This window comes from Homo sapiens, chromosome 12, assembly GCF_000001405.40.
Source record: "Homo sapiens chromosome 12, GRCh38.p14 Primary Assembly".
NCBI classification, from domain to species: Eukaryota; Metazoa; Chordata; class Mammalia; order Primates; family Hominidae; genus Homo; species Homo sapiens.
The window spans coordinates 74,191,593-74,215,771 of record NC_000012.12 but is presented as its reverse complement, the minus strand read 5'-3'; the positions used below and the strand labels follow the sequence as shown (position 1 = coordinate 74,215,771).

Sequence of the window (24,179 nt, the reverse complement as noted above, 5' to 3'; positions counted from 1 at the left end):
GATATTGCATTTTTTACCAATCAGAGGTTAGTGGCATCCCTTGTTAAACAGATCTGTCAGCACCATTTTTTCAACAGCATGTGCTCACTTCATGCCTCTGTGTCACATTTTGGTAATTCTGTAATATTTCAAACTTTTAAATTATTATATTTGTTATGATGATTTGTGATCAGTGTTCTTTGATGTCACTATTGTGATTGTTTTGGAGCACCACAAATGGTACCTGTATAAGACAAATAACTTAATTGATAAATGTGTGTGTTCTGACTTTTCATCAGGTGGCTATTCCCACATTTCTCTCCCTCTTTTCCTCTTCTCAGACCTTGCTATTCCCTGAGACACAACAATATTGAAATTAGAGCAATAAATAACCCTACAATAGCCTCTATGTGTTCAAATGAAAAAAAGACTCAAACATCTCCCACTCTAAATCAAAAACTAGAAATAATTCAGCTTAGTGAGGAAGGCAGGTCAAAAGCTTGGACAGGCTGAGAGCTAGGTGTTTTGCACTAAACACTTAGACAATATGTGAATGCAAAAAAAATTCTTGAAGAAAATTAAAAATATGACTCCAGTGAACAGATGAATGATAAGAAAGGAAAGCAGCTTTATCACATATAGGAAAGAAGTTTTAGTGGCCTAGATAGATTATCAAGCCAGCAGCAGCATTCCCTTAAGCCAAAGCCTAATCTAAAGCAATACTCAAGCTCTCTTCAATTTTATGAAGGCTACAAGAGGTGAGTAAGCTGCAGAAGAAAAGTGTGAAGCTAGCAGAGATTGATTCATGAGGTTGAAGGAGAGAAGCTATCTCTATAACATAAAAGCACAAGGTGAAGCAGCAAGTGTTGATGGAGAAGCTGTAGCAAGTTATCCAGAAGATCTAGCTAAGAAGGCTGATGAAGGTGGCAACACGAAACAACAGATTTTCAGTGTAGATGATACAGCTTTATATTGAAAGATGATGCCATCTAGGATTTGTAGCTAGAGAGAAGTCAGTGCTTGGCTTGAAGGCTTCAGATGACAGGCTAACTCTCCTTAGGGGCTAATGCAACTAGTGACTTCAGATTGAAACCAATGCTTATTTACCATATTAAAAATCCTAAAGCCCTTCAGAATTATGCTAAATCTACTCTACCTGTTCTCTATAAATGGGACAACAAAGTTTAGATGACAGCTCAAATGTTTTCAGCATGGTTTGCTGAACATTTAAGTTCACTGTTTAGACCTACTCTTCCAAAATAATATTCCTTTCAAAATATTATTGCTCTTTGACAATGCACCTGGTCACCAAGAGCACTGATGGAGAAGTACAAAGAGATTAATGTTTTCATGACTGCTAACAAAACATTCTATTGGCAGCCCATGGATCAAAGAGTAATTTTGGCTTTCAAGTCTTTTTATTTAAGAAATACATTTTGTAAGGCTATAGCTGTCACAGATAGTTATTTCTCTGACAGATCTGTGCTAAGTAAATTGAAAATCTTCTGGAAAGGATTCACCATTCTAGATGCCATGAAAAATATTCAGGATTCAAAATATCAACATTAAGAGGAGTTTGGAAGAAGTTGATTCCAACTTTCATGGATAACTTGGAGGGGTTCAAAACTCAGTGGAGAAAGCAACTGCAGATGTAGAAATAGCAAAAGAACTAGAAATAGAAGTGGTGCCTGAAGTTGTGACTGAATTGCTGCAATCTCATGATAAAACTTAAACAGATGAGGAGTTGCATATTTTAGATAAACAAAGAAAGTTTCTTGAGATGGGCTCTACTTCTGGTAAAGATGGTGTGAACAATGTTCAAATGGCAAACAAATAATTTAGAATATTCATACAAACAGGAGACAGAGAAATAATGGGTTGAAGAGGGCAGTTCCCTAGCAGAGTCCCCACACTCAAGCCTGGAATCCCCCAGCCCTAAATGAGAACAGGTATTCCTGCTTTCACGTCCAAAAGTTTGCCTTTTGTCCCACCACATCCCTTATCCTATACCCATATAAACCCTGAACCCCAGGCTCCAGAAGCAGATGAGCAGAAGAATGGCAGAAAAGCATGGTAGAGAAGGAAAAAAGAAAAGGAATGTCTGAATACCGAGAGGAGTTTGGCTCAGGACAATCGAGGAGGACATCAGCCGCTGGACAGCCAAACTCCAGGAGAAGATCATCTTCCCACTCCATCCCCCTTCCTGCTCCCCGTCCATCCCACTGAGAGCCACTTCCACCACTCAGTTAAACCCCTACATTCATCCTTCCAGTCCATGTGTAACCTGATTCTTCCTGGATGCCGGACAAGGACCTGGGTACCAACAGGACACTGAGCTGGTTAACACTTAAGCCATCTGTGAATAGCAAAGCTGAAAGAGCACACTGTAACACATGCCCACTTGGACTTTGGCAGTTGAAGACATCCACCTTTAGACATTAATGTTGGGGCAGAGTCCAAAGAGCTCACCCTGGCTCCTGCACCTGCCTGTCAGCATGCTCCCCCTCCTGTAACGGGTTTGAGCTCGCAGGAGCCAACTGGAGAGCCACAACCCTGTTGCACATCCTATGAAGGGGGCCAGGGAACTCTCCCATCTCAATATTACAAAAACTTAGTTGATAAAGCTGTAGCAGGATTTGAGAGGATTGACTCTAATTTCAAAAGAAGTTCTACTGTGGGTAAAACAGCATCACATGACACAAAGAAATCTTTTATCAAAGGAAGAGTCAATCAATGTGGCCAACTTCATTGCTGTCTTATTTTAAGAAATTGCCACAGCCACTTCAACCTTCAGTAACCACCACATCATCTTCAGCAGCCATCTACCTTGAGGCAAGACCACACCAGCAAAAAGCTAATGACTGGCTGAAGGCCAAGATGGCCATTAGCATTTTTTATCAATAAAGTTTTTTAAAATTAAGGTATGTACAGTTTTGACATAATGCTACGGCACACTGAATAGATTGTAGTGTATTATAATGTAACTTTTATGTGACTGGCTAGCCAAAAAATTTATGTGACTGACTTTATTGCAATATTAATTTTGTTGTGATGGTGTAGAACAGAACTTTTACTGTCTCCAAGTTATGCCTGTAATTCAGAAATTTCCATTTAGCTTAGTAGGATTATTTATGTCACCCTTAAGTTCTCACTTTGTTGAATTTTTATTATTCACTTTTCATAGGTATATTAATTTAAGAAAGTTTGGTTGATCGTTATGTCACAAACTTTTTAGGAAATTGTGCTAATTAAGTTAGTCCTGAGCATTTTGAAATATAATGTCTATCAAATACTACAACCATTGTTTACTTAGTAAGAGAGATGATATAAATTGATCTATGTAATTTGGAATATGTTTGCTGAATAATATATTGCACATCATATTATAACACATCACAATGTAAGGATAAGAACAGGAATATAAATTAACATTTTTAATCCTTATTTTATTCTAGGTGTTATACCTGGCATGGTAGATACTATTTGCTTTCTCCCTGCTAACAAATATACAATACATATCCTAAAATTTTTTATTCTACAGTGTTAAATCAAGTTTAGCCTAAAGCTGCCGCCTTACGTATTTTAAGTTTGGCCTAAAGGTTTCTCTGCACATCACGAACTATAACCTAAAGGTTTCTCTGCACATCACGAACTATAACCTAAATGAAGTTATAAACAGACTCTTGTTCCAATCAAAGGTGGCCAACTGTTCAAACCGTGTTCAATAAGGCAAACACCAGGCTATAATCAATCTATCTGTTTCTGTTCCTCATTTCTGTTTTCTGTACATCATTTTCCCTTTTCTGTCTATAAATCTTTTTCTACCAGAAGGCTGCATGTGAGTCTCTGAGCCTACTCTGGCTCTGGAGGCTACCTGATTTGCAAATCGTTCTTTGCTCAATTAAACTTTAAACTTAATTGAGCTAAAAGGTTTTCTTTTAACAATAGATAGGGAAACCGATGCTTATAGTTATGTGTCTTGCCTAAGGTCAAGATGTTGAACCTGGAATTTAAACTCAGGGGATCGTATATTGTGATTAAATTTATAACTATTAGGAAAAAGATTAGTTATACATAAAGTGATAATGTACATGAAAATACTATCCAACATTTTTGTAAATTTTTGTTTTTTCAAATTCTCCCTATCTCTCCTAGGTAACATTTATGTTACACAAAAGTTTCAAAGGAAAATTGCTATAAAAAATGCATGGCTCTGATTATTCCCATCAACAGTTTGCAAGAACTGTATTAGTAAATCATCAGGGAAACACACTGTATTGATGGCTATTTATTTATAATTACTGTCATTTTTCATATCAATGCTGAAAGATGTGTTTTAATTTACAGCAGTGGGTATATGAACTACCAGTAGGTAATCCACCACTCACCCCCCATAAAAAGAAAGAAAAATCCTAGAATTACAGGGAAAGTGCAATATATATTAACATGAATCTGTGAGTATGATCTGTATCTTTTAAGAATCTTTTCTTTTTCAGAGTATATGTTTTTCTCTTGTATCTCATTTGGCCCCTTTTATGGACCCATATATTTAAAAGACTTGCAACAATACTGACTAATATGACAGAAAATCATGTATTTCAACTTTGAAGAGAAGTTTTGATATACTGACCTTCAAGTTTTGCTAACTGATGCTTTTATAAACACCAAATAGTTTATTTCTCATACTTTTATTGAATGGCATCAATGATTTTGGAGACCTTTGGAATTTACAATTCTATTTTTGCTGTCTTGCTCTTAGAATAGACAAAAAAAAAATTCCCAAAATGTGATGAGTTCACAAAATCCCACCTACAATTAAAATAAAACAATGTATGTGTGTGGAGGAAAACAACTATTTATTTTGACAGCTGCCTTTGCCAATTGCCATATTTATTTGCCAGTGTCTTGAGGACAGAAAACTAAAACACATTGTTAAAAATGTATAGGGAATATATCTGTTATGTTTGAGATCAAATAATTAACCAGTAACTACTCAAACTCTATTTAATGCCATTTTTATAGAACATGAGAAAATTTATGCAGTAGGTTTATTGTAATAATAGTGATAATAGTAATAGCATGGATACTGTAAATTACGTATTTAAGAAACTGTGTGTATAACTGTTGAGAAGTTATTAAATTTTTTTGTTTTCATTCACCCTTTACAGTCTACACCTAGAGATTCCTAGAGAGAAAAATTAAGTCTTGGACTTCAGCAAAATGAATATTTATTGAATTAGCTATGTAAATAGTCAAAACTAAGAATAACTTTTTCAGTTTTGGGAGGAAATGCCAACAGTGTTTTCCATAATGGCTGTACCAATTTACATTTCCAACAACAATGTACAAAGTTTCTTTTTACTCTACATCCTCACCAACATTAGTTATCTTCTGTCTTTTTGATAATAGCCATTGTAAACAGGTGTAAGGTGATACCTCATTGTGGTTTTAATTTGCATTTCCATCATGATTAGTGATAGTGAGCATTCTTTACACACTTCTTGGCCATTTGTAGGTGATACCTCATTGATGTTTTAATTTGCGTAGCCCCAATGATTAGTGATGATTACTTTTTGTATACCTATTGGCCATTTGTATGTTTTCTTTTGAGAAATGTCTATTCAGGTATTTTCTCCATTTTTAATTGCTAGTTTTTCCGTGCTATTGACCTTTTTGAATTCCTTATATATTTTGGATATTCTCCCCTTATTAAACATATGATTTGCAAATATTTTCTCGTATTCTATATATATTCTCTTCACTTTGTTGATTGTTACCTTTACCGTGCAGAAGCTTTTCATTTTGATGTGATCTCACTTGCACACTTTTTGATCTTTTGCCTGTGCTTTTGAGATCATATCCAAAAAAATCTTTGCTGAGATCACTATCAAGAAATATTTTCCATATGTTTTCTTCAAGTAGTTTTAGGTCTTGTAAGTCGTTAATCCAATTTGAGTTGATTTTTATATATGGTGTGGGATAAAATGATTCAAGAATCTCACTTTTGGATATATATTCTACGGAAATAAAATCAGTATGGCAAATAGATATTTGTGCCCCCATGTTCATTGCAGCATTATTCACAATAGCCCATATGTGGAATTAGCCTAAGAACAGATAAAGAAAATGTAATATATATACACAATGGATTACTATTTAGCCTCTAAAAAAGTAATAAAAACTAAAATTCTGTCATTTACAACAATGTGGATGAACCTGGAGGATATTATGCAAGATAAGCTAAGCCATGACAGAAACACAAATACTGCATGATCTCACTTATATGTGAAAATGAATAAAAGACAAACTCAAAGAAGTAGAGAGGAGGATGATGATTTCCAGGACCTGAGACAGGGGCTGAAGGATAGAGAAATGGTGAAAGAATTTAAGGTTTCACTGAGACAAGATGAGTAAGTTCTAGAGACCTATTGGACAGCATAGTGACTATAGTGACTGTAGTCAACAAGAATGTATTGTATACTTGAACGTTTCTAAGAGAGTAGATCTTAATGTTCTCAGCTCACTCAAAAAAATATATATAAGGTGATGGATAAGTTAATTAGCTTGATTTAATCATTTCTTAATGTATAGTTATATCAAAACATCACTTTGAACACTGTAAATATATAAAGTTTTAATTTCTCAATTATACCTTAATAATGCTTAAAAACAATTATGCTTTTTAAATACAGAATGCAATTCAAAACCAAATTCAGTATAAATTATCCCTCTGTAAGTATTAATATACATATGTGTGTATTTATGTGTGAGTGTATATAAACTATGAATCTAATTTTAACTACAAAATCTAAAACTTTAGAAAAATGTTGACATCATTTAGTCACACTCTCAATTGAAACCCCAAAAATGCATCCTTTTTTTCTCTTTCACAGATGATTAAGTTGAGATCACATAATTATTTGCCTAAGTTTATTTTATAACTAGTAAGTTACAGAGATCTTGTTCTCCAGTATCCAACCTTAGTGTTTTTTCTCTAACATGAAATAAGTTAGAGGCAAATGTAAAAGACAGTGAAAAGGTAAAATGCAAAGTATATAAATAGCTAAATTAGGAGCATTGTTATGTTTTTTATCTTTGTAGCTACAGTTCATATTATGTAGAAATAGTTCATGTGTCTCTTTAAATATTCAATAATTGGGGTTCTAAATATTTTCTTATTGACATAAAGGTGAGCAAACTTTAGTTCTAATTTTGTGTAGAACGACATATTTATTTTTATTTCTTTTTTTCTTATGCTATTAGTCTCTTCTCTCCCCCTCTTCTATTCCTTTCTACACACATATATAGCTAACACATAAGCACACAAGGTTTACAAAAGCCAGCATCCTTATCTTTGTGGTTTATTTAAATACAGAATAAGTATTTGTAGATGTTAAATTTAGAACTTGTAAAAACTTCCTATGTCTGTTATTTAACAATTAGGGTATGATCTTAAAGTGTTTAAACACCCTATGATCTCAGATATTCAACCTCTATTTTAAAAATAAAAAAATGCACAGCTTCATTTACTTGACAAAAGTTTGTCTTTTTAAATACACTTATTTGAAATTTAATTTATGTATAAATCAATACACAGATTTTAAAGGCACAGTTTGATGAATTTCACAAATACATGTACTCATGAAATCAGCACCTCAATGATGCTATTATCTCAAAACATTCCATCTTATTCCTTTGCAGACAAACCCCTGACCCTCACCCTCTACCTCTAGACAACAACTGATTTGCTTGCTTTCACCACTGAATTGTTTCGCATGTTCTAGAATTTAGTATAAATGAAATCATACAGTATTTAGTATTTTATGTCTGATTTCTTTTGTTTAACATAACATTCATCTAGTTAGTGTATCGGTAGTTTGTCCCTTATATTAATAATAACTATTCTAGTGTATGGATACAAAACAATGCATTCAAATAGTCATTAGTTAATGGGTAGTTGCAGTATTTACCACTTGGAACTTTTATGAATAAATTACTGTAAACCTTCACATCAGGTCTTTTTTACACATATGTTTTTAGTTATCTCAGGTAAATACATAGTGAATAACTTAAAAATTGCTGGATCATATGCTAACTGTATGATAAGTGTATATTTAACATTTTAAGAAACGGCCAAAGTTTCTTAAAGTGTTTGAAACTGCCAAAGTTAAAGTGTTTTACCACTTTAATTCCCATTGGCAGTCAAGGAGAATTCCACTTGTTTCATATTCTTCCCAACATATGGAATAGCCAGCCTTTTACATTTAGCTATTCTAGTTGATGGGTGGTGGTAATTCATTGTGATTTTAATTTTTCTTTCCCTGAAGACTTTTTTTTCTTTTTTGAGATGGAGTTTTACTCTTGTTGCCCAGGCTGAAGTGCAATGGCTTGATCTCAGCTCATTGCAACCTCTGTCTCCCAGGTTCAAGTGATTCTCTTGCCTCAGCCTCCCAAGTAGCTGGGATTACCGGCATGCACCACCATGCCTGGGTAATTTTGTATGTTTAGCAGAGATGGGGTTTCACTATGTTGGTCAGGCTGGTCTTGGAACTCCTGACCTCAGGTGATCCACCAACGTCGGCCTCCCAAAGTTCTGGGATTACAGGCATGAGCCACCGTGCACCGCCTTTCCCTGAAGATTAATGATGGTAAGCTTTTTAAATGTTTTTATTGACCATTTGTATTATTTGTTTGGGGGGGTGAAGTATCTATTTTTTGGGGTCCATTTTTAAGCTGGGTTTTTCCCCAAGGGGCCTTTATGTATTTTGGTTACAATACTTGTTACATATATTTATTTTGAGTAATTTTTCCCAGTATATAGCTTGCCTTTTATTTTCTTAGTAGCATCTTTAACAGAACATAATTTTTAATATTTTTAATAAAATCTCATTTGTTAGTTGTCTATTACTATTTAACAATCAGCTTAACCAACAACATTTATTATCTCATATAGTTCTGAGAATCACGAATCTGGGAGTAGCTAGGTGGATGGTTCTGGGCTCAGATCTCCTATGAGGCTGCATTAAAGCTGTAGGTTTGACTGGAGCTGGAGAATCTGCTTCCAAGCTCACTCACATGGCTTTTGAATGGTCTCCAGTTCCTGCTTACATAGGCTTCTCCATAAGGCTGTTTATCACAAGTCAACTCAATTTCCTGAGAGTGTTATTCAAGAGAGGAAAGGCCAAGATGGAAACTATAGTGTCTGATAAAACTTAACCTCAGAAAATGGCATACTATCACCTCTGCCATTGTCTATTGGTTACACACACCAACACTAGTATTGGGTGGGAGGGACTACTACATCAGGGAGTGAAGACCAGGAAGTACCAGGGGATATCCAGGGTTATCTTGAAGATTGCTTACTACATGTACTTATTAATATTTCTTTCATTGTATTGCTTTTTGTGAACTATCTATGCAAATTTCAACTGCTTTTACATCATAAGGTATTTTTGTATGTGTGTCCTTAAATTTATTTTAAGTTTTTGCATTTCAGTTCTAGACAATTACCCATTTCAGATTAATTTTTTGTATGATGTTACATAAGGATTGAGGCATCATTTATTCCATATTAAAGTCCAGTGGTTCCAGTGAAACATTATAATTTCCCCATCTGAATTATATTAGAAAACATTTAAAACATTAATTGCTCAAATTTCCATTTTCAGTAAATTGAGTAACCTTCCACAATTTCTCACTCACCCATAGATAACAACCATTAAATGTGGAGAAAACTAAATGACCAGTAGGCACTGGTGAGTAAAGCAAAACAGGAAACTTCTGAAAGGAGTTAAAATATGAAAGTTGCAGAGTAACTTGCTTTTTTAATAGCCATTAGCAAGAGGGTAGATTAAACTCAGTTCCATGTTGGGTGGTTGAAATTTTGATAAAAGCATGAAGTCTATCTGGCATTAAGAAAAAAAGAGAATAACTTTGGGGCAAATACAGCCACCTAGAAAGTTAAGGCAAAATGGCAGAGCCTGAGAGCACATGCCAGAGTTGCATAGGTAAACTCTGAAGAACCTTTTGGTTGACTTTAAGCCATGCATGAATAGAATGTAATTAGCTAAAGTAAAATAAAAATAAGACAAAATCAATCTACAGGTCTGAGTTGCCACCAAAGAGCAGAGTTTAAAGTTTTAGTCCAACCAAGTTAACAGCTGACTGACACTAAAGTATAAGCACTCTTTGGAAAACTCCCAGAGTCTTCAAAGAAAATACTAACATTGTCCAAAGTACAGTGGAAAATTAGTTAAAGGACTATGAACCAAGAAATGTGCTCTGTTCTCAATAGAAAAGACAATGAATCCAACCCAAATCTGTGATCACAGATAAGAATTTGCAGATAAGAATTTTAATCCAGATATTATAACAATGCTTAGTGAAGTTTAAAAAAGTGTGTTCATAACTAATGAAAATATTTAAAATATTAATAGAAAAAATATGAAATGGAAATTCTGCAAGTACAGAACTATGATATCTGAAATTTTAAGAAAAGATACATATTCATTAAGAGAAAAAAATCAGTGAACCTGAAGATAGATCAATACAAACCAACTAATCTGAAGAACACAGAGAGAAAAATCTTGAAAAATATTACCCAAACCTAAGGAATTCAAGAAAGCATAACACAAAGTATGACATATGTTTAAGAGGAGTAGTGGAAGGTGGAGAGAGAAAAAATGGTTAGAAAATATATTTCAGTATATAAAAGCCAAAAATTTTCCTTAGTGAGAAAAAGATATAAATGTATTAGTTTAAGCAGCTCAGTAAATCTGAGCAGGATGCATACAAAGAAAACCATTATAGGTACAGAATAATCAAAGTGACAAAAAGGAAAGATAAAGGAAAAATATTAAAGTCAGACAAAAATGGCAGATTACATACTGGGAATAATCTCTTGAATGACTACTGACATCTGCAAATATGAAGGCTAGAAAACTCTAAATTACCAGAAAAAAGTTAACTAATTATTCTGCATCCTGGGAATATATCCTTCAAAAATAAAGGCAAAATAAAGGCATTTTCAGACAAAATAAAGCTAATAGAATTTACTACCAGAAAACCTGCACTAAAATAAAGTTCCCAAATACTAAATGAAGTTTCCCAAACTGAAGAGTAATGATGACAAAAGTAACTTGGATCTCTGAAAACGGTAAAGAACATCAAAATGCTGTAGCAGCCTTGCCAGTGCACCACAATGTTTCAGTTTTGTTGTTTGAAGTAAGACCCAGAGTTCTTTGTCTCACAACCAAGAAAATTAAAGAGCCATGAACACAAGGGTGAGGTTGGAGTGAAACTTCAATAAGTGAAAGGAGAAAGCTCTCCACAAAGAAGAAGGGGCCCAAAAGAGGGTTGTTTTTCTACAATTGAATACATGGGCTTTTATAAACAGGCTAGTAGGGCGAGATATTTCATTTACATAAGGAGCAAAAAACTGGTTAGGACTAGGTGTTCATTTGCATAAGGTGCAAATTCCATGTCCTTTTAGCATGCATGCGAACTCTTAGCCTAAGTTACTTTATATTGTTTAATTTCCCTTTCTGCGCATGTGTGAGGGGGTGGAATTTTCATTGCAAACGTGCTAGGTTCTGTGTTACTCCTCTTAGGCATGTTTAAGCAAGTCTCCCACCTCCCTTCCCTGTGCAAACTCCCTTACCTGTGTATGTCCCCAAAAAAAGGGAAGGAATGTGCTTACTGAATCCTACCATGTATACATGACCCTTGTTAGTTACACAGAAGGCATCTTTATGGTGGACCTTGCCTCCTTATCCATCCTTGCCTCCTGATCTTTCAGGCTGTTCCTTTGTTAGAAAAAAAAAAAAAACAAAAAAGGAATTCTACCAAGGACTTGTCCTAGCTATCTGCCTAACTGGTTCCTTTCTCTCTTTTCCCTCAATAGTAATGATTAAAGGGTAAATTAACCAGGAAGACATAGCAACTGTAAATGTTTGTGTAGACACATTTACATGAACCAAAATTTGACAGAATTAAGGTAAGATATAAACAATTCCATAATCATAGTTGTAAGTATCTAAACCCATCTCTAAGGAATTAATAAAACAGGTATATTTTCAAAGTTGATAAATTATCTGAAAGACACTATCAAGGCATTGACTTAACTGATATGTATAAAAGACTAGATACTACAACAGCAGCATGAAAACAGAGGACATTAACCAAGATAGACCATATGCTAGTCCATAAAAAGTCCCAACACATTTCAAAGGATTGAAGCACTTCTGAAAAATATATACGTAAAAAAAGAAAAATCCCAAGGGAACTTAAAGATATTTAAAACTGAATGAAAATAAAAATATATTCAAATACATGGGATATCTGGATATTATTCAAACACTTAAAGTCTAAATCAGACAGGTGTTAATAGCCCACATGTCAAAGAAGAAATAAAAAGTGACACTATAAAATATTTTGAACTGAGAGAAAATTAAAAACACATATTAAAAACAGCAAATGCCGCTAAAGCAGTACTTGGTATTTTATGACACTAAATACCTATTTTAGAAAAAGAGAAAGATCTCAAAATAAATGACTTCAACTTCCACTTTAAGAAAATGATCAAAGTCATGGTTTTTAGAACAAATTAAATAATAAAGGCCAGACTGAAAATAAATTAAATGTAAAATAAAAACAATAGAGACAATCAATTAAATCAAAATATAGTTCTTTGAGAAGATGAATAAAGTTGATAAAATCCTGGCCAGGATGATCAACAAACTAAACAAGATACAAATTAACAGCATCTGAAATGACAGCAGTTATATCACTCTAGATTCTACAGGTTTGAAAATGACATTAAGGGGATATTATGAAAAATTCTGGCCAGTAAATTTGACAACTTGGATAAAATGTACAAATTAAAGACACAATGCACTATAGACATTATAGAAAAATCTGAATTTGCACTATATATATATATATGATTGAATTTGTAGTTAAAAATAAGCCCCCAAAATGCTGACCTACCTTGCTGAACTTTAGAATTTTACCAAATATTTAAGAAAGAATTAAGAGCAATTCTACGCAAATTCTTCCAGAATATTGAAGAGGAGGGAATACTTGTCAATTCTTGTTATCAAATCAAAACTATTATTTTATCAAAAGCAGCCAAATACATTAGAAGAAAAGAAAACCACAGACCAATATCTTTTATGACCACAGAGGCTAAAATTATATACAAAAGTTTAGCTAATAGAATCCAACAATATGAAAGATAATAAATTATTACCAAGTAGATTTTGCCCTAGGACTGCAAGTTTGGTTTTATATTGAGGAGTCAATCAATGTAATTCATCATATTCATTAGCTAAATTTCTTTAAAAATTATCATCTTAATAGACAGAAAAATATAATGACAAAATTCAAGATACATTCATGATAAAAACTTTCAAAGTAGAAATAAAGATACTTTCTCAACTTGATAGGGCATTTATGAACTACTTATAGCTAGCATCATACTTAATAGTGAATGACTGAATGCTTTTCCCGGAAGATTAGAAACAAGAGGAATTTCTACTTTTACCACTTTCATTCAACACTGTACCAGATACTCTAGTCAGTGAAATAAGGGTAAGAAAATAAACAAAGTTCTTTAGATTGGAAAGAAAATAGTAAAATTGTCTAATTTTCAGATGACATGATTGTCTATATATCTCATATAGTCTACAAAGAAAGGTAAGGTTACAGAACACAAATAAGTACAAGATTATTATAAAAATCAATTGCATTTCTATATATAGGCAACAAATAATTGAAAATTTAAATTGAAAAATATTTTGTTATATTTGCTACAAATATATATGTATATATGTTATATATATATACATTTACATTAGATAAAAATATTAAATACTTAGAGACAAATCTGACATGGCAAGGAAAGAAATCTTCACTAACAACTACAAAACATTGATGAGGGAAGTTAAGGAAAACCTCCCAAATAAAGACACACACTTTTTCATAGGTCAAAAGACATATTGTTAAGATATAAATTAACCTCCTCATATGGTCATCTTCTAGCTCCCATAATTCCCCTGTTTTGTGGGAGGGACCCAGTGGTAGATGACTGAATCATGGAGGTGAGTCTTTCCCATGCTGTTCTTATGACAGTGAATGGGTTTCATGGGATCTGATGGTGTTAAAAATGGGAGTTTCTCTGTACAAGCTCTCTCTTTTCCTGCCACCATCCACGAAGGATGTGACTTGCTCCTCCTTGCCTCCCATCATGATTGTGAGTCCAATTAAACCTCTTTCTTTTGTAAATTGAGTAGTCTGGGGTATGTCTTTATCAGCAGCATGAAAACAGACTAATATAGGAAATTGGCACTGGAAGAGTGGGTTGCTGCTGAAAAGATACCCAAAAATGTGGAAGTGACTTTGGAACTGGGTAACAGATGGAGGTTGGAACAGTTTGGAGGTTTCAGAAGAAGACAGGAAAATGTGGGAAAATTTGGAGCTTCCTAGAGACTTGTTGAATGGCTTTGCCCAAAATGCTGCTAGTGATATGAACAATAAAGTCCAGGCTGAGGTGGCCTTAGATGGAAATGAGGAACTTGTTGGGAGCTGGAGCAAAGGTGACTCTTGTTACATTTTATAAAAAGAATGGCAGCATTTTGCCCTTGCCCTAGAGATTTGTGAAACTTTGAACTTGAGAGAGATGATTCAGGGTATCTGGCAGAAGAAACTTCTAAGCAGAAAAGCATTCAAGAGATGACTTGGGTGCTGTTAAACACATTGTTTAAAAAAGAAACTGAGCATAAAAGTTTGAAAAATTTGCAACCTGACAATGCAATAGAAAAGAAAATCCCATTCAAGCTGGCTACAGAAATTTGCCTAAGTAACAAGGAGCCAAATGTTAATCCCCAAGACAATGGAGAAAATGTCTCCAGGGCATGTCAGAGGTCTTCATGGCATCCCCTCCCATAACAGGCCTGGAGGCCTAGGAAGTAAAAATGGTTTCCTGGGCCAGGTCCAGGGTCCCTGTGCTGTGTGCAGTCTAGGGACTTTGTGCCCTGCATCCCAGCTCCTCCAGTCATGCCTAAAAGGGGCCAAGGTAGAGCTTGTGCCATGGCTTCAGAGGGTCCAAACTTTCCTATGGTTTTGAGCCTGCAGGTGCACAGAAGTCAAGAATTGAGGTTGGGGAACCTCAGCCTAGATTTCAGAGGATGTATAAAAATGACTGGATGTCCAGACAGAAGTTTGCTGCAGGGGTGGGCTCTCATGGAGAACCTCTGCTAGGGCAGCAAAGAAGGGAAATGTGGGATTGGAGCCCCCCCAATAGAGTCCCCACTGGGGCACCATCTAGTGGAGCTGTGAGAAGAGGGCCATTGTCCTCCAGACCTCAGAATGGTAGATCCACCAACAGCTTGCACCATGTGCCGTGAAAAGTCACAGACACTAAATGCCAGCCCATGAAAGCAGCCAGGAGGGAGGCTGTACCTGCAAAGCCACAGGGGCAGAACTGCCCAAGACCATGAGAACCTACCTCTTGCATCAGCATGACGTGTATATGAGACATGGAGTCATAAGACATCATTTTGGAGCTTTAAGAGTTGACTGCCCTGCTGGATTTTGGACTTGCATGGGCCCTGTAGACCCTTTGTTTTGGCCAATTTCTCCCATTTCAAATAACTGTATTTACCCAATGCCTGTACCCACATTTTATCCAGGAAGTAACTAATTTGCTTTTGTTTTTACAGGCTCATAGGTGGAGGAGACTTGCTTTGTCTCAGATGAGACTTTGGACTGTGGACTTTTGAGTTAATGCTGAAATGAGTTGAGACTTTGGGGAACTGTTGGGAAGGCATGATTGGTTTTAAATATGAATATATGAGATTTGGGAGGGGGTCAGGGGTGGAATGATATGGTTTGGCTCTGTGTCCCCACCCAAATCTCATCTTGTAGCTCCCATAATCCTCCCATGTTGTGGGAGGGACCCAGTGGGAGATGATTGAATCATGAGGGCGGGTCTTTCTCATGCTGTTCATGATCCCATTCATGTGAGAAAGACCCATGTGATCATGAATGGGTCTCACAAGATCTGATGGTGTTAAAAATGGGAGTTTCTCTGCACAAGCTCTCTGCCTGCTGCCATTCACAAAGGATGTGACTTGCTTCTCCTTGCCTTCTGCTATGATTGTGAGGCCTCCCTAGCCATGTGGAACTGTGAGTCCAATTAAACCTCTTTCTTTTGTAAATTGACTAGTCTCGGGTGTGTCTTTATCAGCAATGTGAAAAAGGTCTAATACACCTCCAAATTGATCTACAAATTAAATGTCATTTCTATAAAAACCTTAAATGAATATTTAGGAAAACTGATGAATTCTCTCTAAAATTCATATGGAAATGCAAAGAATCCAAAGTAGCTAAAACAGCATTCAAAATAAAAATAAAGTTGAAGGGATAAAATCACCTGTTTTTAAGACTTATTGTGAAGCTAAAGAAATCAAGATGGTACAGTATTGGCATCAAGATAAACAAATAAGTCTATAAAACAGAATAGAGAGTGCTGGAGTAGAAGGAAGGAATCGATGATAAAAGCAGAATGGTTGAAAACAAATTTTAACAATCAAAAACACAAACAATAAGCAAAATTAATAAAGGCAAAAGATGATTCTCCAGAAATAAAGGTAACACATAATCTCCTAGCTAGACTGATAAATAATAAGTAAAACATAATGAAACAAATAGAAACAGAAAATACTGAAATCACCAATATCTGGGACAAAGGAGGAAATTTTACTACCTATTCTACCTACATTACAAAGATTACAAGAAAAATTTTAAACAGTGTTACACTAGCAAATTGACAATGTAGATGAAATTTACATTTCTACTAGAAAGCATAATAGAATTTTGTTTAGAATAGTATTAAATCTAGGAATCATTTTGGGGGAAATGTGTATTTTAATAAAATTAAGTTTTCTTTTTAAATTCAGGAGCATGCTGTATCTTTCTAATTACTTAGGTATTACTTTTTCTCATCAATAGTTTTTCATTTTTAGTGTACTGATCTTTTACATATTTATATATTTTAATCATCTCTATCATTTTATGTTTTTGGTTTTATAAATGGTATTTGCATTATGCTGGGTCCAGTCAATAGAAAGAAAGCGCACAGTAATTTAAACAGAAGTTTAATGTGAAGATCATTGAAATCTGTTGAAAGGGTAACTCAGATATAAGGGTAGAGTAGGACTGAAAGAGATTCCCCAGGAAAACATAAACTTGGTAGGAAAGCTTTCTTACCAAGATTGGGGTTCAAACTAAAGAATAAGTGTACTTGCAACCCACTAGAAAAGAGAGAAGTTTGCTAGTTTTCCTGGGCCTTAGGTGGTTCAGTCACCACGTAAGCAGGCAGCAAATCTCTTGGATGCAAGTAAGTTGCCGCCAATAGCCAAGAGTTCTAATATGCTAAGAAATTGGAATGTCTAGATCATACAACATTAATGTCAGGAAAGCCTTACAATCATTAGTCAATAATGGCTGCAGAATAAATAAGCTGTAATAATAAATTTACAGTCTTTCATAAATTCCATAAATACCTATAGAGAATATGATATGTCATAGACACTAATCTAGGTTTGGGCTGCTACAGAATTGAATAAAATGGGAAAATAACTGCTCTTTTTGGAGCTTAGATTCTTGTTGTAAAAATAGGCCAAACATAAATAAATAAGTAAAGACAATCCATCAGATGGTGGTAATGCTATGTGAGATGGAAGGTCAAAAGAGTGATGCTGCCATTTCAAAGAGACTAGTTTAAGAAAATGTCACTAAAATGTAGACATTTTAATGTAGAACTAAACATGGAAAAAAAGCAAGCCATTCGTGTGTCTGAGGAAAGATACCTCCAGGCTGAATAAATAAGAAATGCATATGCCAGAGCCTAAATAGCATGTTCAAGAATTAGTAGAAAGACCAGTGTTGCTAGAGCATAGTCAGCAAGGGAATAGGTGGAAGATCAGATGAATTAATTGGCAAGACACCAAGTTATTAATGTCACAGTGTAAAAAACACTCTCTGATCCCAAAAATTTTCTCACAGAACTTTTGGTTTATCCTACAATCAATACACTTCTATCTATGATTGAGTGCTTTTTAATTTTACTATTAATTTCAAATAAATATCGATCTTAATGAAACTTTATTTTTGAAACAACTTGAATTTGGGAGAATTTGAAAGTTTTGCAAAGGGTGTTAATATTTAAATATAAAATATTTAAATATAAAAATTAAGAACAATTAAATTACCAGTGTCAAATACAAGAGAAAAGCAGAAGACATAATGAAAGCAATATAGGACTATATTGGGAAAAAAAACACTGATGACATGGGGGAAGAAAGTAAAAATAAAAGGCCAACAATTTGGAAATTGTACAGAAGTGATACAGGAAATTTATGCTAAATGTATAAGGAATTCTTAGAAATGAATAGGATAAAAATGAAGTGCTTAATAGAAAAATAGGTAAATATGAAAATAAATTTAACAAAATGAAATATAGCTAAAAATCAATCTTTACACTAACAATCAAATAACAGAAAGATACCATTTGACACATCAGGTGACCAGAGATTGGCATGAGTCATACAATTATATTATGATCAGGATTCAAGGACATGGGTCACTGACCCATCCTGAATATCTGTTTTCTAAAATTTAATTTTAACTTTTTATTTGTTTTTAATTTTTTAGCAATGAGAACATATTAAATGTGTAAATAAAAAAGAATTATTACATTTATGAATATGTTAAGGATTATAACCACAAATAGGAGAGACCATAATATGCAAACATGCACAAAATTTTTGTGTGAATAATTTATCAATACATACCAAATCCTTAATAATTTTTTAAATATCTTTTAGCCTGACAATCACATATATAGAAGTGTTTTGCAAATTTTAGCTATTTTCAATATAGCATAGTTTATAATTTTTAAAAATTGAATAATCTATCAAAAATAATTAATGAATTTAATTACAATTAATGAATTCTGTTATATCCATGTAATAGATTACTACATATATAGCATATTTTATACATGCATAGTTATTGATGTAAAAAATTTTTGATATAATGTTTAAATAAAAATCATACTATATAGCTAAATATAAAAGGTTATTTTATTTTAAAAAATTATATCTATGGGGGGAATTCTATAGATTGAAAGCTCTGAAACCTTTTCATTTGCCCAATCTTGATCACAACACTCAATAAATAAATATAATCCTGTCTTTTATGTAATGGTTTCCTTGTATATCTATTTTTTTATCTACATATGCATCTTTAGACATGTTTAGTATTACATATTTTCTTAAAATTTGTTGTATATCTTAAGTCTGTTAATTTACAGGTTCGAATGCCATCTTTTTCTTGCCATGTTTCAAATTGAAAAACACAATTCATTTAAATTGCAAATTTCCCCCATCTGGATTTTGCTAATTTTACGCTAATGATTGTTTCCACTGTCCCCTATATTTTCTCCAACTTGGAAGAAATTAGACTTAGGTGAGATATTTTTGGCAAGATCACACATGATTTTTATTTTTCCACCTTGTCTCTTTTTATGTGTTAGTTGTTAGTCATGCTTAATGCCTAGATCCATTAATTTATTGAGAATTGAATCCGATCATTTCTGTTACAATTATTATTAGCTGGAATACATTGTAAAGTTTTCACTTTTCCTCACCTATTAATTGGATATCAGCATATGTACTATTTATTATATTTAAGTGTTAATACGCATTTTATTTCATTATTAAGTAACAATAAAATATTAATAAAATTAACATTTGGGGAGAAAACAGAATAAGTTCTTGGTCCTTCCCTTTATTTTACATATTTCTAGAAAATTTGTTCCATCTCATCTCCTGAAAGTAACTAATTAGATTTTAAAGTATGATTAGGAACTCGTGCATTTAAACATATTTGATGGGTTTCCATTTATGAGTATAAATTCAACCCAGTTTGGAGTTCAGATTGTCCTATCTTTTTTCTATTAAGTTGTCTATCTTTGACTAGTAGCACATCTTCAAGTTGGATCCTGTCTCCTTTTGATGTGATAGTAACAGACAAAATACCCCAGGCTTGTTTTGGTTATTCTTAGCCTCAGACCTGGAATCAGCCATTTTTTCAAGAGGCCCTCACTTTCTTTAGTGGAAAAATGTATTGAAAGACTACTGTCTGGGTGCTAGGAATGCTCATTTTCATCCACTTTTTTCCTTTACTATGTTGTTTATGGAGCTTGAAAGAAAAAGAGAATAATTAATTCATCAATAGACAGATAAAGAGACTAATGAGTTCATCCTGATTTCCAATTCAAATTCAGGACTTCAGGACTACTCAACATTTTCTACTTTATATCTTTACTTTCTTCCTTTTGCCATTAGAATACTGGTTTTGTGATAAGATTTCAGTATTCAATAATTTCTCATTTGCCTTATTCTAAACCATATTCACAATAGTTTTGGAATAACAATGCAAATATTTCCAAAACTAAAATAATGATTGGGTATACTTAATTGTTTTGCATGTGTTCTTTTTTGTTCTCAGCTATATCTGATTTTACTATACCTACTTTGTCCTAGCATATAGCCTTTATACTCTATATTCTCTTCTCATTTAGTCTTATTTCTATATAGCTAATGATATACCCAAGGCTTATTTTCATATGCTGATTTTTATATAAAATTAGATTTCTTGACTTTGAAAAGCCAGTTTGTACCAGAATAGCTTTTCTAACTTTACAGAGGTCTCATATTTTTTTCCACTTTGTATTTAAAAATATAAGATTATTCTGGCTTAATTCCCCTGCCTCACATTTTTTTTTTTTTTTTTAGGATTTGGATTTCAACACTTTAATTTCTTTTGAATATAAGTCATGTTTTCCAAGCTAGGAAACATAATCAACCTAAGGCAATCTAGTCTTGTAAGGATCCAGGCTGAGTCTTGCAATCGTTAGCAGAATGACATCATAATAGAAGATGCTGGCAATAGGGTTATAGACTCTAAATAATAACAACTTATCTGTATTTTTCATTAGGAAATGGCCAAAAGTCTAGTCCTTAAAGACATGATATAGAGAACATCTTGATCTACAAAGGACAGAGTAACCCAAATTGTATGTCGTCCAACCTTTGGGTCAACCAGACAGATCAAAGCTGGCCAAGGATTGGTAAACAGTGAATGTTTACATTTTGAAACCTTGCTCTGTGATTTTAAAAAGTCCTGATTGAACTAATTTACATTCCCACCAACAGTGTGAAAGTGTTCCTATTTCTCAGCAACCTTGCCAGCATCTGCTGTTTCTTGACTTTTTAATAAATGCCATTCTGATGGGTGGGAGAAGATGGTGTGGGGATTCCTCAAAAATCTAGAACTAGAAATACCATTCAACCCAACAATCCCATTACTGGGTATATACCCCCCACCAAATATAAATCATTCTATTACAAAGATACATGCACACATATGTTCATTACAGCATTATTCACAATATCTAAGACATGGAATCAACCCAAATGCCCATCCATGATAGACTGAATAAAGAAAATGTGGCACATATACCCATGGAATACTATGCAGCCATTAAAGGGAATGAGATTATGTTTTTTGCAGGTACATGGATGGAGCTGGAAGCCATTATCCTCAGCAAACTAACACAGGAACAGAAAGTCAAACACTGCATGTTCTCACTTGTAAGTAGGAGCTGAACAATGAAAGACACTTGGACACAGTGGGCACACTGTTGGAGGGTGTGATGGGGGGAGGGAGAGCATTAGGAAAAATAGCTAATGCATGCTGGGCTTAATATCTAGGTTATGGTTTGATAAGTGCAGCAAATCACTATGACACAAGTTTACCTAGGTGACAAGCCTGCGCATCCTGCACTTGTACCCCAGAACTTTAAAAAATATTTTAAGAAAATAAAGTCCCAGTTGTTGTCAATGAGAAAGCGACTAAAAAATATTACAGATGGACTCACACTGATACTTGATTTTACCAAGATTTTTCACTACAGCATGAAGGTAAAGTTAAGTGTAGGGGATTAGTTACTTAGATTTTTTAAAAATAAATTACTTAGTAATAAGAAATTAGACACACTGCATTCTTCCACTTGCTGCAAGAACAAATTCACAGTGAAGACTATCTAAAAGAAATGCTCAACTCTAAAGAGAGTGGTGGTGGCAACACTTTCCACTAAAGAATAAACTCCCATTTTCTCAGGCAATTAACATTGCTATTCTTCCATGATACATATTCATGTGGAAAAATTTGTCAGGAGCTTTTGCCAGAACCAGGAGATGAAAAGCAGAGCTTGTCCTAATTAGCTAATTATAAGCTCAGTTAACATCTTTGGAATGGACCCATAAAATCTGGCAATTATTTTGTTAAACATCTGCAAACTGCACAATTCCTTAGCCCTTAGCCGCAGTTTCTGCTCAATATCTTAAAGCTGGGCGGAGTCCCACTGTGACTTCTCTTCAAGTCTGAGATGTGTGCTTGTCATCAAAATCTGAAATGACAGCATAAAAGTAATCCCAGCAGCCTTTGGATGCATGGTAGGTAATGCACAGGGGTAAAATCCCGGCAGGAACACTAGAATGCCAATGACAGGATGGGATGGCCTCATAACATGATGATACAGCTAGAGACAAAGCTTGCTCACCGGTGTCAGCAGAGATGCCTGAGATCATCTGGCATAGCCCACCTAACTGCCACTCCTCCTGCCCCAGCAGGCCCCTCCCTCACTTTTATGTAGACATTTTTGTCCTCATTTTTATTGCCCTGGTTAAGTTTTAATTCAATTCTCAGTAGTTGATTTTGTTTCCCCCCACGCAGTGTGGAACTCTTTTCTCAGTTTCAGTAATTCATAGAGACTAAATTTCTCTGACCCCTTCACACCTTCCTAACAGACAATTGTATTGCCCGACTATGAAGTAGGCAAAACTCCTCCCAGACTTTGCTGCTGTTTTCAGATTGGCCCCTGGTGAACCTTATGTTCTCAGATCTTAAGATGTCTGGTTGTTTCTCTAGGCTTTCATGTGTACAAAGGCTGAGATAACGCAGGGCTTGTAACTGCCATGTTTTCTCCCCACCCACTTGCATTTCGGGTTTGTAGGGATAACTTGCAACCTAATTATATTATAAATTTCGTTCATGGATTTCACTTTACTATTTCATTGCTCTATTTTTATAAAGATATTTGAGATTAAATATAATGTTACTGCCATCATTTTCCCAGAATCCCGTTTTTATGTTGAAGCCAATGTTTTTTATGATGGAAGTTTGTTTTACTAAATAAAAACAACCTTCTTCTCCAGTGTTCCTATTTCAAGCTATTAGAAGTACTACAACAGCATCTTGTATATAAAGTAGAACATATTTTGGCAGAATCTATGCCAACCTATAAAATGCAAGAAAAAGCAAAAGCCAGAGCCAGAAACAGTATAGCAGATATTTTAATACCAAGCAAGTATCCATTGGCTCTTACCACAAAAATCTGCACTGTAGACAAACTGCAATAAACCAAACTGACAGATATTCAGTACCAGTCAGTTCAGCTTCACCTAAAGAGCTAAAGCTTGTGATTTCTCTTAAGCAAGAAAAATAGTTAAAACAGTCATTTTTGTTTAATGCAGTTTTGTATAAATTATTTAAAAAATGACTGAATGTTAGCTGAGAAATCAGTCTGAAATTGTGCCTGTCTTCTACCTCTTTTGAAGTCACTGCTGATAACAGAAAGCTTTGCCTTTAGAAATATAAACATGTGGTGTACTTTGCATGAATTTATTTAATGTTTATAAAAACATATTATACGGTACGGTCATATTTATTTAGTACTGGCTATTGCATAAGACTAAATCATATAGAGATTTGTAGAAACTACAATTTTATGGCAAAAATTAGATGGAACAGATATTCTAGAAGTTAGCTCATTTGTAAATAACTGGAAAAAAGTGTTTTCTTAATCCTTTAGTTTGAAAATTTCAACTTTTAAGCCAATTTTAAAAATTTGTGGAGTAAAAAACTGTTTCTTTGGGGGAATTTGTTAAGCTTTCTAGGAAATTCTGTTTAGAATAACTAAGAGTTTTATCGTTTTTATCCATGCCTAAAAATGCATTATTGACTATTGGTTATAATTATTTGAACATGATGGAATTAAGATAATGTACTGC

General features: G+C 34.2%; 1 long non-coding RNA gene across 1 annotated transcript in view; it reads left to right on the top strand.

Annotated features, from left to right (window-relative positions):
• Positions 1-24,179, top strand: part of LINC02882 (long intergenic non-protein coding RNA 2882) — a 159,459-nt gene that overhangs the window by 76,860 nt on the left and 58,420 nt on the right. Inside the window, exon 4 of the long non-coding RNA NR_038300.1 lies at positions 21,619-21,698. This is a non-coding gene — a long non-coding RNA (long intergenic non-protein coding RNA 2882). The remainder of the gene's footprint in view (positions 1-21,618; positions 21,699-24,179) is intronic.